This window comes from Homo sapiens, chromosome 3, assembly GCF_000001405.40.
Source record: "Homo sapiens chromosome 3, GRCh38.p14 Primary Assembly".
Lineage (NCBI taxonomy): Eukaryota > Metazoa > Chordata > Mammalia > Primates > Hominidae > Homo > Homo sapiens.
The window spans coordinates 90,141,439-90,157,815 of NC_000003.12; the positions used below are offsets into that span (position 1 = coordinate 90,141,439).

At 35.2% G+C, this 16,377-nt stretch overlaps 1 annotated feature.

Moving 5' to 3' along the window:
* Nucleotides 1,054-1,666: an enhancer, noted in NCBI's record as "OCT4-NANOG hESC enhancer chr3:90191642-90192254 (GRCh37/hg19 assembly coordinates)". NCBI's record gives its function as "activates a minimal SCP1, AML or CMV promoter by ChIP-STARR-seq in primed H9 embryonic stem cells {active_cell/tissue: H9 hESC(primed)}" and the evidence as "EXISTENCE:reporter gene assay evidence [ECO:0000049][PMID:30033119]".

Consider the following 16,377-nt stretch of genomic DNA (forward strand, 5'->3'; position numbering starts at 1 on the left):
TTAAAGTTTCTGTATTTACAGCATAAGCAGAATAATTCCATATATCAGGTATGATTTATTTTTCTTCCCCCATTGGGGAAATGAGCTAATTCCCAAGAATTATCAAGCATTATATATGGTTTCATTACCTTTGTTTATTCAGATACTATTCAATTGTCAACTTGATGGTGACTATAAGACACAAGCTAGCAAGAAGGTTTTTCATTTTGATACCAAGAAGTCATTAGGATTAGCAAGTTAATGTTTATCAAATTACTCTGAACACTCAAGTGTATGGTTCTGGATTAGTACAAAGGATTATCTGGTAAGCCAAATTAACAGAAGTGAACAGCATGGTAAAACAAGAATCATCTGCTTCTAGGAATTAAGTAATTATATATAATTAATGAAAAGGAATAATAATTAGTGAACACATAGTACTTATGCAATAATCAGTTAACACTTTAAAAATAATTAACTTTCCTAATGACCATTTTCAGCAAAATTAATGTAGTTTGCATGAGTAGTTGGTGACAACAAAAATACTAATAGCTCCTCGTTACATCACTGCCAGAGGGGGTGGAAAGAGTACATTGAGGGCAAGCCTTCATGTTTTTCACTAGTATACGCTTCATGGTTCTTTTGCTGAACAATAATTCCCCTTCAGGAAATTTAGCTTTGGTTGAATTTCAGTAATAAAAATATATGCATACATATTTATCATACATATATATGACATAAATACATACATATAATTACCATGTTTAAATGCCATTCATCACAGACTAATTTTTAAACTATTTCAGTATCATCTTTGACACTTTCTCTTTCCTTCTTATATTCAGTCACCAATTTGCACATTTTTTCCTCTCTAGACCAATTTTAATTTTTCCATTGCCTTGCTCTCATCACTAAGTATCTGCTCTCCTCTAAGTAGCTTGCTTCAATTTTTAAATGCTCTTATATTTCATCTTAAGCATAATTAAAAATACTTTTTTTCCTAAAACCTGATTTTAGAACTAGGTCCAAGCCTAGTCAAAAAATAACAAAGTTCCCATGAGCTAAGAGATGAAGACAAAACACATCAGGGTGATATTCCATCTGCTCAAAATCCAACCCATCTTCTTTCTCAGATTTTACTTCACATGTGTTTTAAAACTTCCTTGAATGAATGCAGTGGATACCCTATTTTCCCAAAGTTAATAATTCAGAAATCCAATGATAAGATGGTCAGATTCAAAATACTCTAAAATGCAAGCGATTGTAATAATCTTCCAATCTATGCTGAACTATCTCATTAAGATTAGTAGTCAGGTAAATAACTAGTTACTAATTAGCATCAGAAAGAGAACTAAGTCCTGGTCAAGAAAACAATGAGATAAATCTTCTCCCTGCTGTGACTACACCTGTTTCTAAGTGGTCTACAGTTATTGCCAACTCTGTCTAGGAGAGTGAGAATATCTGTATAAATTTTTCTTTCTTTCATCCTTGACTTTTAAACATTTGCCTCAGGATCACACCAATTGGGTGGCCCTGGACTTGGCCATCTTAGACTCCTACATATTGTTTTTGGCAGAACATCTGTTGGGAGTTTTTTGCAACAAGACATTTTGCTAGACTATAAAGGGGAAAAAAGACGTATGAGAGACTAACTCAGCCCACAATATTGTCTTAAAGGCTACTAGGGGTCATTGCTGTAATAAGAGGGAGATTACATTAAGAAGGGATGGGTCTCCTGAAAAACGTGAAAAGGACAAAGACAAGGAATTCATCTTCATGCAGTGTTAGATCCAGGGGGACCTCAGAGGTATTTAGTCCAAATGCCTTATCTTACAAACGAGCTCCAAAAATATTGAGTAACTCATATAATATTCTACAGAGAGCCAATGTATGTTCTATAATTAGACAACAATGAGTATTCTCACTACTAGCTGGTCCATAATTTTTCTACAACTCCATGCTTTCAGTCAGGGTTCTCCAAAATGGAGTACATGCATCCCAGGATGTAAGTAAGCCTAGGCACTGTACTGAGTGTAGAAAATATCAGCATCCCTAATTATCTGTCATTTTTATATTTAAAAAAAGAAAAAGAAATAAGTAATTAAGTTTTATAAGATTGTAATATACAGATTGACACTAGTGTACCCATTAGGGCAATATATATGTCATGTATTCATATAACCTACAGTGTTCAGGATGCCCTGAGGAAAGAGTGGAACATCTCCAATTAGAAGAAATGGGACAGAGGTCACTTCATTTGTGCATTTGCTCTCATCTTGTTGATGTCACAGTCAACATTTGCACCAAAAAATGGCTTTCTGGTTTTACAGTTTTAACTAACAAATGAATTTACAAATTGTATTATCCAGTTTCAACTAAAGCTCCATAAAATAGGCAAGTGGCTTACAATAGCTCTTCCAATTAAAGTAAGGAATGAAAATAACAAAAATAATGTAAGTACCAGTAAGCAAAAAGAATGCTAGGGTTTACATTATTATTAATTCTAGCATGAAAGTCTCCCTAGCCACACTGATTATTTACACACTGGCTACACTGGCCACACTTGATAAAATCAATGAAAGTCTAATAGGATTTGATAAGAAATCAACAACAAAAAAATGTATATGAAGACCATTAAAAATATGAACAGCTATCCACTGCTAGTAACAAAAAACCTCACCCTAAATGTATATTGTGCCTTGAGATACTGGTTCATAATAATGATATTTGTATATTATTGGCTGGTATAATAAAAAATACTTGGACACTCCTGCCTAAATGAAGGATCCAGATATCAAATAACAATAGGCAGAAAAAAAAAACTGGAGAAAAAAATGAATATCTCATCAATAGAAGAATGGATAAGCAAATTCTGGTATTTTATACAATAGAATAATAGTCTGCAATTAAAAAAAAAGTATTATGAATGCAATGAACATGAATAAACCTCCAAAACACTATTTTGAGAGAAAGAAGCTAAACCAAAAAAGAAAAAAAGATGTGATTTTGTTAGTTTGGATTTCAAGTTGAAATGTTATCATAATGGAATTCAGAATAATGGTTCCTAAAGGCAGGAAAACCACAGGAAAGGGGGCCTAAGAGGACTTTGCAGGATGATGAAAATGTCCTATGTCTTGTTTTAGGTATTGGTTACACACACACCAGCATTTATCAAAATTTATTAAATTGTATACATTTTAGGTCTGTATATTTCATTGTGTATAAAATTTACCTCAATAAAAAATGCTAAAAACATCTTTAAATAAATAATATGAGGTAGAATTTGTTGTACTTTTATCAGAGGTTCCCATGTTCTAGCTCCTTTTATATGTTACTGTAATTTCCATTCATATCGTCCTCCGAAGCAGTAAGCTTCTTGGAGGTGGATACTGTGACTTATTTGTTTCTGTTTTATTCTGCCTCCCACAAAATACCCATGACACTGGCTCAAGGCAGCTGTTGTTGAACAAATGAAAGAGGCACTAAATTTTTATGCACTCGTTGTTTAATATCCTTTTAATTAGTGAGCAGTTCACCACAATAACTCCAGGAGGAAACTTCTCATTGCTCCTAGAACAATAGTAAATAAATTTTTCCAGGTCTCTGAAAGCACCTTATGTTTTAAATCAGTCAGTTTGGGATCCCAATTCCAGATGGATGGGCTTATTCTTACCTGTGGGACCTTAAGTAATTCAATCTCTCTAGACCCATTTTCTCATCTATGTAAATGGAGATATTAAGACTCCACACAAAAGATATTGAGGATTATAAGTGATACAGAAAAGTACTATCTCCCAGCATGATGCATGTGACAAGCATACCATAAATGTTAGCCTTATTCCCACATCCTATAAACATGAGTGCATTTCTGCTGTAGTCATCAGAATAATACAGTTTACTATTTTTCTCAAAATTTAAACTGTATGCAGATGGCCAGAGAGGTTCAATAATTAACTTCCTGTTCCTGCATAATTTAGAGTTGCCCAGCCGCCTCTCCCCAGTCCTCTGTTTTTAATTTGGTGTGACTAGGTAAGTGGAAATGTTAAGCCCCACACCTTTTGTGGCTTGTGTGTCAAAACCCTCTTTTAAACCTGCTAGAAACTTCCTCCCAGAGCATACTGCAACGCTTTCAGGACGTGACGACTGAATCAGTCAGCTCTCTGTAGAATTTGGTTTTATGCAACTGCTGAAATAGCTAAGAAGCTTCTCCCTTTCCACTTACTGTTTTACTGCCTACCTTACCCAAAAATGTAGTGTGTCAGTGTTTCCTGCTAACTGCCTCATAACATATTCCATTAAAACAGCAAAAATTTCTGGGAGGAAAGCCAGCAGTTTACATTTGTTCTGTTCCCTATGAGTATCTTGTTAAAACAAAAAAAGGCAGTGTTTTTATTTATAGTAATAAAACTGAACTCTAAACTCAGAGAAGCTTTCTCTAGACTCACAATCCATGAGCTATCATCTGAAATTCACAAGTCTCTGAGAAGTCCTGGTTTCCATACTTCAGACATTTCACAGCTAAGTCTACCAATCACAGATATAATGAGCCCTGAAATTTTAGCTTTCGTAACACAATACCCATCTACTCCTTTATATAGACAATACACATAAATTTAATGTGTACAATTTCAAGAAAAAAAAGGTAGGAAATTGGAAACTAGTGTCTCGATAAGAAAATATTTCGATTTTAGTTCTTTAACATAAAACGATTTTCCCTAAATTATTCCATTCCCACCATATTTTCTAACTAATTTAAATAAGAAAACTAATTTAATTAAGTTAACTGATTTAAGAAAGATTAAGAAAGATGATCTTTACTTAATGGAAAATGGTATTTTTATTGGATGCTAAAGGGAAATCCATGTAATATCAGATGACTGCCAAGCTCATAGTATCCTCTGAAAGAAAGTGGCCAGAACTGGCCCTTTCCTGTGTATAATGCTTTCAAATGTATATTGAGTGAAACCAACTTCAGTCCTTTCCCCACAACTGAATGCAGTGATTATCAGTGCACTAGTCAAAAACAATCACATTGGAGAAGGAGAAAAGAGAGGCCAGTCATCTCGAAGAACTTTGGCCTGAAATTCTACTCAATAAAGTTGCTCCATATTGAAAGATGATAAACTAAACCAATCAAATTCTCTTATTACTAAAAAATATAAATGTTAAATGAAAAGATATCCTATTAGATCCTAGATAGTAGTTAATGGTTTCAAGTCTCCAAAAGGGATAGTATATCCCAATCTTGGAACTTTCACCCCTCTGTTTCTGTATAAACTTAATAAGCTCCCTTTCCACAGGTAATTCGTGTGTGTTTCTTTCCTGCATTATTAAAAAGCTTGACTAATAACAATACCAGTGCTGGGGATAATGTATTTATTTTTGTGTGTTTGAAATAATAATATTTTAAAATAAAGCCTTATCATTGACATCATAGATCATATTTCTTACTTGCAAATTCCATTACCATTGGGAACATGTTTAAAGGGAATACAATTTGAAGGAACAAAAGGAATTAATTTAGCCAACAGTTGTTTATGAACATTGTATAATTGATAGAAGAAAACTTATTGCAAATAAATAAATGACCTAACTGATTGTACTAAACTTCCATTTCCCTCAGGCTATGCATAGGTGTAAAGTAAAGCTTTTAAAATAAAAGGTTGGCAAATACCAAGTAGAAAACAAAATTACCCCCAATTCAAACCACAAACCAATTCCAATTATTACTAATGTTCTACCAGCAAAAGCAGATAACCAAAAATAAGAAAAGTGCAAATGCTATCCAGGCAAAAATAAATAAACACACCAATTTATAGCCAAACTTTGAAAACAGACTTTTAGACAGCTATATGAACTATAGCACAGATCATTCCAAGGCCTAAAATGGGTAGAATTAGATATAGAGGGGTTTTTATCTTAGCCTGGCTGATCATTATTTCTCTCATAATTTTACTTTCTCAATAATGTAAGCCCTAATGCAGTTTGCACAAATGTCATACTTTTCTATAATATATGCTACCCTCATATAATGTAATTATAATTCTATCTATAATGAAAAGATTAATGATTTTTTTACCTATAATTGGTTTTAGTAACAAGCCATGTTATCATTCTATTTCTGTTAAGGGCATATAGCTTCATACATTCCAGTTATTAGTGAACCTAAGCATTTTCTTGTGTTTTGGTCTTGCCTTTCTGATATTAGGCCTCATTTTCTTGCAGTGATTTGAAGACATGGTTCTGCTATGCTACTCCATCCATTAATACTTCACCTTCTTTATACCTGGCCTTGAAATGCTTAATGACATCTCTTTGTCGCTGTGTTAGTCCATTCAAACACTAATATAAAGAACTACCTGAGACTGTGAAATTTATGAAGAAAAGAGGTTTAGTTGACTCAGAGTTCCACAGGCTTAACAGGAAGCACGACTGGGAGGCCTCAGGAAACTTAAAATCATGGTGGAAGGTGAAAGGGAAGCAAGGACCTTCTTCACATGGTGGCAGGAGAAAGAGAGAAAGAAGGGGGAAGTGCCACATGCTTTTAAACCATTGGCTGTCATAAGAACTGGCTCACTATCATGAGAACAGTATGGAGGAAACCCTCCCCCATGATCCATTCACCTCCCACCAGGCCCCTCCTCCAATTCAACATGAGATTTGGGTGGGGGAAACCCTCCCCCATGATCCATTCACCTCCCACTAGGCCCCTCCTCCAATTCGACATGAGATTTGGGTAGGGACACAAATCCAAGCCATATCAGTCCCACACTTTTCTTGCCCGGTGACTCCCAACCAGACTTTTTAGTTAACATGCAGCCCTCCCCTTTTAGTCCTACTTCCTTCCCTATCTTCAATCACTGCCAGTCTTTTTCTACTTTTGATTATTCTAACCCCTTGTGATATATTTGTTAAGTTTTGGATTGAAATGGTTGGATTGATTTTGTGGTATTGGTCTATTCAAGTAACTAGCTAAACTTAAGTGTCAGAAAAGATCCAAATTTATCAGAAGTGTAGCAGAAGACAAATGTCAAAATCTAACTTCTAAAGAGAATATTGTATTTAAACAGTAGCAGCTTTACTTAAGGTGAACATTATGAATTAAACTATTCAAAGGCACCAACCTAGAATGTGGCCTACTATTAGATTGCAAATTTAAAAGCAAGTCTGTAGAAAATTCAGCCCACCTCTTCCCAAACTGGCAGAACAAATTTTGGATGATCATAATTATTCTTCAACAACCCACCACTTTTTATCAGAAAGCAATTTAATTCAATTAGACTCATCAAACATTTACTGGTGTTCTATTAGTGCTAGTCGTTTGTGCTAAATATTGTGAGAGAGCAATAATTTCAATGTAAATAGTGTTCTTCCCTGCACAAAAGGAGACAACTTGTGCAAGCCTGCAACTTGACCCTAGATACAAAGCAGTCTAGTGACTCTGCAAATGTAAATTACACGATTCTTTCATGAAGCAGCAGACACTAGATTTTAAATCTACATAATGAAAGGTTTTGTATAAATATATCCTGAAAGTTTCCTGAACTCCTTGGTGGTGAGGGATAAGAGAAGTCTAACTTCAAAGCACTGTATAAAGGAGGAACCTAGTAGTCCTTGTATCTCACACACATCATCTAAGAAAGAGGGTGTCTTTTGTAACACAAAGGCCATGAAACAAGTTAAAACAAAATTTAAGAAGTTTCATCCTGAAATTCAGAGTTAAAGATGCACTGTGCTGGGCACGGTGGCTCATGCCTGTAATCCCAGCACTTTGGGAGGCCGAAACAGGTAGATCACCTGAGGTCAGGAGTTCGAGACCAGCCTGGCCAATGTGGTGAAGCCCCGTTTCTACTAAAAATGCAAAAATTAGCCTGGTGTGGGGGTGCACGCCTGTAATCTCAGCTACTTGGGAGGCTGAGGCAGGAGACTTGCTTGAACCCGAGAGGCAGAGGTGCCAAGATTGCACCATTGCACTCCAGCCTGAGCAATAGAGTGAGACTCCATCTCAAAAAAAAAAAAAAAAAAATGCACTGGCATTTTATCATCCAAATGCAACACTTCAGCATCATCAATAAGATTCTTTTTATTGTGTATACCTTAAATATACATAATTGTAAAAAAGAAAAGGAAAATCTTCTGACTACCTGATAGTTTCATTTTCCTTGTATCATTAGGTTCTTAGATCCTTTTATGTAATAACACTGCTTTACATAAAACTCTAGAGCTCTGCAGAAGTGCAATTTTTCAGCATTTTCTGCTGTAACTTCTATTAATCTAAGCAAAATAATACATTTAGTTGATCCCTTTTGGGCTTGCATCTCATTAGAAAAATGTAAAATTTTTCTGTAAAATGTAAAAAAATAGCCTCTCTCAAAAAATAAATATTTTTATTTGAACCAAAATTACATTTCTTAAGTATGTTTCAAATAATTATTTCAAAGCTCCTTAGCAACTCAAAATGCCAAAAGGAAATACTTTTCTGTTTGCTATAAGGGCCCCTATCTAAAAAAACAAAGGGCTATCAACTCAGCAACATCTTATACCAACCTATTCTAAATAGTTTGAAAATACACTGGTACAATTTGAAGTGGAATGCATGACTCTTCTTAATAAATTAATGATTTTATCTACAGTACTGGCAAATAAAAAGGGTATATATAAACCAGGATAATATTTCATTCACTGGAATAACTCATTAGAATAGAACTGAGAAAAAAAGAAAAGAACCAACACAGAAAAAAACAAAGGGAATATAACAATGAAATTTAAGATTTGTGAAAGAGTTTTATTTCTATTTAGAAGAAAAAAAGTGAATACAGACTTCAGGGGTATAACCTCATCAAATAAATTAAATTTGACTAAAGCATGAAAAATGAACTAATAAAACATGAAAGGAAGAGATAGTAGATGACAAAAATACTTTTGCCTAAAATTCTTATTTTCCCTTTGATACAAACCCCATTGCTCCATTGTATGTCTGTTTAGTTTTGTTATTCCTATCTAGGAGTAAGAAGTCAAATGAACCAGGGAAAAAAAATGTACCAAAAACCTTCTCCTTAGCCAAAATTTAAGGAGGAAATTTACAGGATCTGGGGAATTGTGGGGAGGAATACATGAACAGAATGGTAGCTGGATTCAAAAAGGCCCAGTCGGCCTTTTTGATCATCTCCAGTAATGACTAATATCAGTTACTGCTGGGCCTGCAAAGCTTCTAGACCTGCTGGGTAGCCATCTGAGTATTGAACTAAATGACCTTACATGATTTTCAAATACCGTAGTAGATCAATTGTGTTTTAGCATTTTGCACAGCTGGTTATTTGGTTAAATGTGGGCAATTCCCCAAAGCCCTCATTCTATTTTGGAATGTATCTATTCATTTAAAATACACTGCAATGTGTTGCCTTGGATAGTGTGTTTGTACCATGGGGATTAGTTCAGCAACGCTGTGCTCCCACAAACAAAACATCCCTCCTGGAGAGATGGTTTCATTGGTCAAGCCATAAGTGCATACTATCTGATAACAGTTATTTTTAAACTGAGAAGCTATTAAGATTAGCCAAAGAATAAAAAGCTTTTGAAAAAGGAAAAAGAAAAAAAAGACCAGATGGCAAAAGTAACCACAAAATAATGTATGATCCAAAATAAAATCTGTCAACGTTGCCTGAGTTTTAATGCAATTTAAAAACAACTGAGTCACAAAATGCCAGAAAAATTGTCCACACATTCTAAAATAATTCAGCAGGCCAAATTATAAGACTTGCTACCAATGAGCATTCATTTATGGCATTTCAAGTTTATCAGAGAGCTTTCATGGTTTTTTTTTAGGTTAAAAATGTATATTATTTATTCCTATTATGTGGGAATTTCTTCCTAGCATTCAGAGAAGAAAACAGAAACCAATCTGTTCTTCCTCCCTTAGAAAGGAAAAGCAATGAGATTAAATCTTTTTAATCCAATGAGCCCTCCATTGCTGCTCCTAACAATAGGCCTGAAGACTTTTCTGCTGCTGTTATTCAAGAGCTTGCTCCCTGGTCCCAGTTTATAATTTTTCCCCCAAGGTAATGGTTGTAAAGTCTTCTTCCTATCTTGCTTTAGCTTCGGAGCATTTGTTTGGAGATAAATGACTGAATAGTGCATTTGTTTAGTTATTCTTAAAGATACACTAGACGATGTTCATACCCAATCTGTCAGTGTCTCCCTCTGTGAATGGGAGTAATTTAAGTATCTATTTTTTTAAGAAATAAGAGCTAATGCAGGTAATGTACATGACACAGCACTTGACAGTTAGAACATGTTCCATGGCTGTTTTAGCTTATTATCAAATTCCCTCCTAAAATACAAAGAGGCACTTGAAACATCTTCAAAGAAATTTGTAGCTTGATATCTAAAGTCAAGAAGAGAAAAACTAAAAGAGAAGATAGAAAAACACCAAAGGTAAAAGACACTTTCATTTACTTTACTTTCCTTTAATTCATGGCACCATATCTGCTTCACGTTCTACCCAGGTGTTAAAAGAATGAAATTTAGTTGCTTCTTCATTCCATCTTTTTTTTTCCTTTGCAGAACATTCCATCTATTTCAAGTACAGATTACAAAAATATCCAGTTTCTGAACATAATGGTTAACACTATGATATTTTTATTTGTTTGTGTTTTGAAAACCTAACATAAATAGAAAGTACAAAGAAGGATTGGGAGGTGGTAGTCAAGAGTAGGCTTCAAGTAATAAAAATCCTTACATAATTGACAAAATTGTCCCTAAAATAACTCCAAAAAGCAATCTAAAATGGATAAAAATATGTGCATACCTGAGTCTTTTATAGATTAGGTGCTTCAAAATTAATTTATTCTTTAAAAAGTGATTTAAAATGAAGATGTATATGGTTGCATGAGTATGATGTTAAGAAAAATACAAGTCAAAGAAGCTCTCCCTAGAATTGTCTCATTATTATTGTTCTTCCAGTTTCCTAGGAAGGTCTCAAACTTAAAGTTTTGTTTCCTTTGCAAAGAAGCAAGGAAGAAATAAATAGATAACAGAGAAGCTGGAACCAACCCCAAGGGGTTAATGAGGGTGTTAGAGATGGAAGGTAGACAGGGCTAGGTAGTCGCTACAGCTGGGGATAATTAATAGCAATCAAGGGCCACTATAAACAAATCTGCAGGAAGTATGGAGGATCTGCATTTTCCTGGCTTGGTAGCAGGAGCCATCTGGACAGAGGGAATTTGGCTTAATATCCTCATCAGGGAACTCGGGTTTTTTTTTTTTTTTTTTTTTTTTTAACCACTCCAGTATAGTAGGTCACTGAAGTAAACAAATTGAGCATGGTTATGCTATAACAGATTAAATTACTATCACAAATATAAAATCCACAATGGATTATGACTAACACAGCAATATAGGAATAATTTTACGGCTAGGAAAAAGTGGACACAGTTTTAAGAGCAATCGGGGAAAATTAAACAAAGGAGAGAAAAGAGGGAAAAAGTTATTGGTTTATTATATATATATATATATATATATATATATATATATATATATATATATATTTTATTCTCCAGAGTTTTTTTAAAAAAGAAATCATTGGTTGTTTAATAGCATTCGAGTCAGCAGAACTGGCGACTGTGACCAAATCTGTTGGAAAAGACCATGTAGGCAGTCCTGCATTCGGGAGCGGCTAACGAAGATGAAAAGCAAGGATAATCTAGGGAAGCAGAAGCTGAAAGGCCAAACGGTGGGTTTTTGCAAGACCGTTTCTTCTGACTCTACACTCACAGCTCTCCATCATTTCTACGCTGCTTCCAAACGTTTGCTACACTCACACCAGACACTAAATCTTTTAGTATTTTTTTTTCCAGCTTGGCATTTGCTTTACTGCTATATGGCTCCCTCTGTTCCTATCTATAGCTGGTAACATCTCGCTGTCAGGGGGACAGATAGGCTGATCTCCAGGATCCAAGGAGATTCTCCATCTATGAATCGCAGTCTCCCTTAACTTATTTTCTCCCTTTTCGTATTGTCTATTCTTTAGAAGGGTGACTCTTTCAAACACTGAATCTACTTAAAACGTTGACTTCAGAATTTGGATAAATTAATTCAAGAACTAATGCAAATTCAAGACCCTAACTTTACTATGACTTGAAGTTATCTATTTCTGATGACTATGAAAGACTGGATGTTAAAAAGTTGCTATGAGATACATTCACTATCAGTATCAGTTGGCTAATTCGATCCTAAGGGACATTCCAAAGATGTTGGAATACCTCATGGAGTTGAGCTCAAATCGCCAAAAATGGCTATTAGGTCTAGCATTCAAGTTAAGGCCTCAGTGCACAGTAATATGTTGCGTACTTAAGAGTTAAGTTTAGGTGTCCTACCATTTAGCAGCTGCCTAACTAGGAAAGATGCATAACCCCTCTGAGATTCAATTTTCTCACTTGCAAAATAGAAAAAATAGTACCTACCTCACGGTTTGGAGGATTTAGTGTGTTAACATGTGCAAAGTCCTTAGCATGGTGCACAGTTTAAGGAACAAGCTCAAAAAGAAAAAGTCAGTTTGGGCCGGGCGCAGCGGCTCACGCCTGTAATCCCAGCACTTTGGGAGGCCGGGGCAGGTGGGTCCCCTGATGTCAGGACTTTGAGACCAACCTGGCTAACATAGTGAAACCTCATCTATACGAAAAATACAAAAAATTAGTCAGGCGTGGTGGTGGGCACCTGTAATCCCAGCTACTCGGGAGGCTGAGGCAGGAGAATCCCTTGAACCCGGAAGGCAGAGGTTACGGTGAGCCCGGATCGTGCCACTGCACCCCAGCCTGGGCGACAGAGTGAGACTCCATCTCAAAAAAAAAAAAAAAGAAAAAGTCAATTTGTATTATTTCTAGTAATTGCTTTTGAAAAATGTTATGACTTCCCTCCATTTTAGGCAGACTCACATTTGACTTGTACCCAATTGTGAAATTATAAATATTTTGCTGTGAATCATTCTACCTCTACTTTGTGATTATTTTTTGTCAAGTGCATTATGTGCACACGATTCCCATCAAATAAAGGTGAAATTAATTTCTGGGTTTTTTTCTCTCCTGGGCAGCAATTATAATTTACTTGGAATATGGTTTATTGTAAGTCATCAAATACATTTCCCAATAGTGCCATTGCATACCACCTATCTAAATATTTTTCTGCTGATTTATTTATCTATTCCTCAGAACAAAAATAAAGAAAGCCAAAAAAAGAAAGCCATATGACAAATAATATAATTTTCTTATCCAAGTTTCTTACAAGCTAATACATGTACATTTTAATATATTGACCCTCAATTTACAGTGATGATTTCAAATACCATAGAGGTTCTAACTAATTGTATGCCTTCCAAAAATTCTTAGTTTAGCCTTACACAGGAGAAATTTACATTCAGCATAGACTACACTCAAAGAAGGAAAAATTTAGCCATTTGTTCAGACATGACAATCATTCTTTTTTCAATCATTAAATTAGCCAACATTTACAGAATAGTTAGATGTGCCAACACACTACTAGGCAGTATGAATATGATAGCACACAATACCTTGCTCTCATGGAGCTTAAATTATGGTGTGGAAGATAGAAAACTAATTACTCAATCACATATGTGATGTGTTAGATTGTAAACAGCTCTAAGGAGAAAAAGATAAAGTTAAGGAGGGAGGACATGAAGTGTGAAGATGGAAGATTGAGATGTTAATGTTGACTGGGGTGACTCAATGTGAAGGTGAGTTTTGGTGAAAAACCTGAAAGCACAAAGGAGCTTACTCTACTGAGAGCCAAGGGAGAGGATGAAGAGAAGTACAAAGAGATGAGAGAAAAGTACTAGGAGACAGAGCATTTAGAGCCTTTTCTTTGTATCTCCTTTGAATCAGAAATAAATATTGTCTAGAAAATAATGCATAGTTTAATTGCCCTACAAAATATGGACTCCAGATTAGGATACCCTAAATAGGATATTTCAAAGAAAGAAATAGACTTTCGGCTAGTCATACCAAAACTCTGTATTAGCATGTACGTTATCTAAAGTGGGTCTTTTATAAACATCATCTTTGATTTAATTTAAGGCTGAAGAAACATATTAAAGAAAATATGATCATTGAATCTTCTTTCCTTATTTCCTAAGACAAATCACAGTGTTAATCATCTGGTAATTCACCTTCAGTTTAAAATTATGGTAGAGGTCAAGAGGATTCGTAACAAAGGACTGGCCTCAAGCACCGCCAACGTAAAAGAACAGTTTACATCCCATGGTTAAAGAGTCTAAATCTGTAATACTCAGTGAAAACTCCTTCAGAAACTCCCTGAATTCACTATAGGTAAAAATCATTAAAAGCAGGGCATAGACAGGTCTATAAAAGAATCTAATACTTTTACAACTTCAAGACCAAAAAAAAAAAAAAAACTGTTCAACTGAGACATGAGGATTTTTAATGAAGAAAAGGTTTTAGTACTGAACCACCATTTAAAAAGTAGAGAACTAAGAAGATTCCAATTCAACTGACATCAATTAAGCAAGTGAAGAGACCTATGCTAGACACATAGAAAGGAAGCGATGTTACCATCTAACTGGGAAGACAGGTGTTCTTAATAACAACAAAGAAACACTAAATTTGATAACCAAAATAAAACCAAAAGTTTCAGGATCATTTTTACGACTTCAAGTATAAATCTACTAGATAAAATAGAAATCTTCAACTAGTGTATGTGAAACATTTACAACTTCTTTTTTTTATTTTCTATTTTATTTTATTTTATTTATTATTATTATACTTTAAGTTTTAGGGTACATGTACACAATGTCCAGGTTAGTTACATATGTATACATGTGCCATGCTGGTGCTCTGCACCCACTAACTCATCATCTAGCATTAGGTATATCTCCCAGTGCTATCCCTCCCCCCTCCCCCCACCCCACAATAGTCCTCAGAGTGTGATGTTCCCTTTCCTGTGTCCATGTGTTCTCATTGTTCAATTCCCACCGATGAGTGAGAATATGCGGTGTTTGGTTTTTTGTTCTTGTGATAGTTTACTGAGAATGATGATTTCCAATTTCATCCATGTCCCTACAAAGGACATGAACTCATCATTTTTTATGGCTACATAGTATTCCATGGTGTATATGTGCCACATTTTCTTAATCCAGTCTATCATTGTTGGACATTTGGGTGTTTCCAAGTCTTTTCTATTGTGAATAATGCCGCAGTAAACATACTTGTGCATGTGTCTTTATAGCAGCATGATTTATAGTCCTTTGGGTATATACCCAGTAATGGGATGGCTGGGTCAAATGGTATTTCTAGTTCTAGATCCCTGAGGAATCGCCACACTGACTTCCACAATGGTTGAACTAGTTTACAGTCCCACCAACAGTGTCAAAGTGTTCCTATTTCTCCACATCCTCTCCAGCACCTGTTGTTTCCTGACTTTTTAATGATTGCCATTCTAACTGGTGTGAGATGGTATCTCATTGTGGTTTTGATTTGCATTTCTCTGATGGCCAGTGATGGTGAGCATTTTTTCATGTGTTTTTTGGCTGCATAAATGTCTTCTTTTGAGAAGTGTCTTTTCATGTCCTTTGCCCACTTTTTGATGGGGTTGTTTGTTTTTTTCTTGTAAATTTGTTGGAGTTCATTGTAGATTCTGGATATTAGCCCTTTGTCAGATGAGTAGATTGTGAAAATTTTCTCCCATTTTGTAGGTTGCCTGTTCACTCTGATGGTAGTTTCTTTTGCTGTACAGAAGCTCTTTAGTTTCATTAGATCCCATTTGTCAATTTTGTCTTTTGTTGCCATTGCTTTTGGTGTTTTAGACATGAAGTCCTTGCACATGCCTATGTCCTGAATGGTAATGCCTAGGTTTTCTTCTAGGGTTTTTTATGGTTTTAGGTCTAACGTTTAAGTCTTTAATCCATCTTGAATTGATTTTTGTATAAGGTGTAAGGAAGGGATCCAGTTTCAGCTTTCTACATATGGCTAGCCAGTTTTCCCAGCACCATTTATTAAATAGGGAATCCTTTCCCCATTGCTTGTTTTTCTCAGGTTTGTCAAAGCTCAGATACTTTTAGATATGTGGCGTTATTTCTGAAGGCTCTGTTCTGTTCCATTGATCTATATCTCTGTTTTGGTACCAGTACCATGCTGTTTTGGTTACTGTAGCCTTGTAGTATAGTTTGAAGTCAGGTAGTTTGATGCCTCCAGCTTTGTTCTTTTGGCTTAGGATTGACTTGGTGATGAGGGCTCTTTTTTGGTTCCATATGAACTTTAAAGTAGTTTTTTCCAATTCTGTGAAGAAAGTCATTGGTAGCTTGATGGGGATGGCATTGAATCTGTAAATTACCTTGGGCAGTATGACCATTTTCACAATATTGATTCTTCC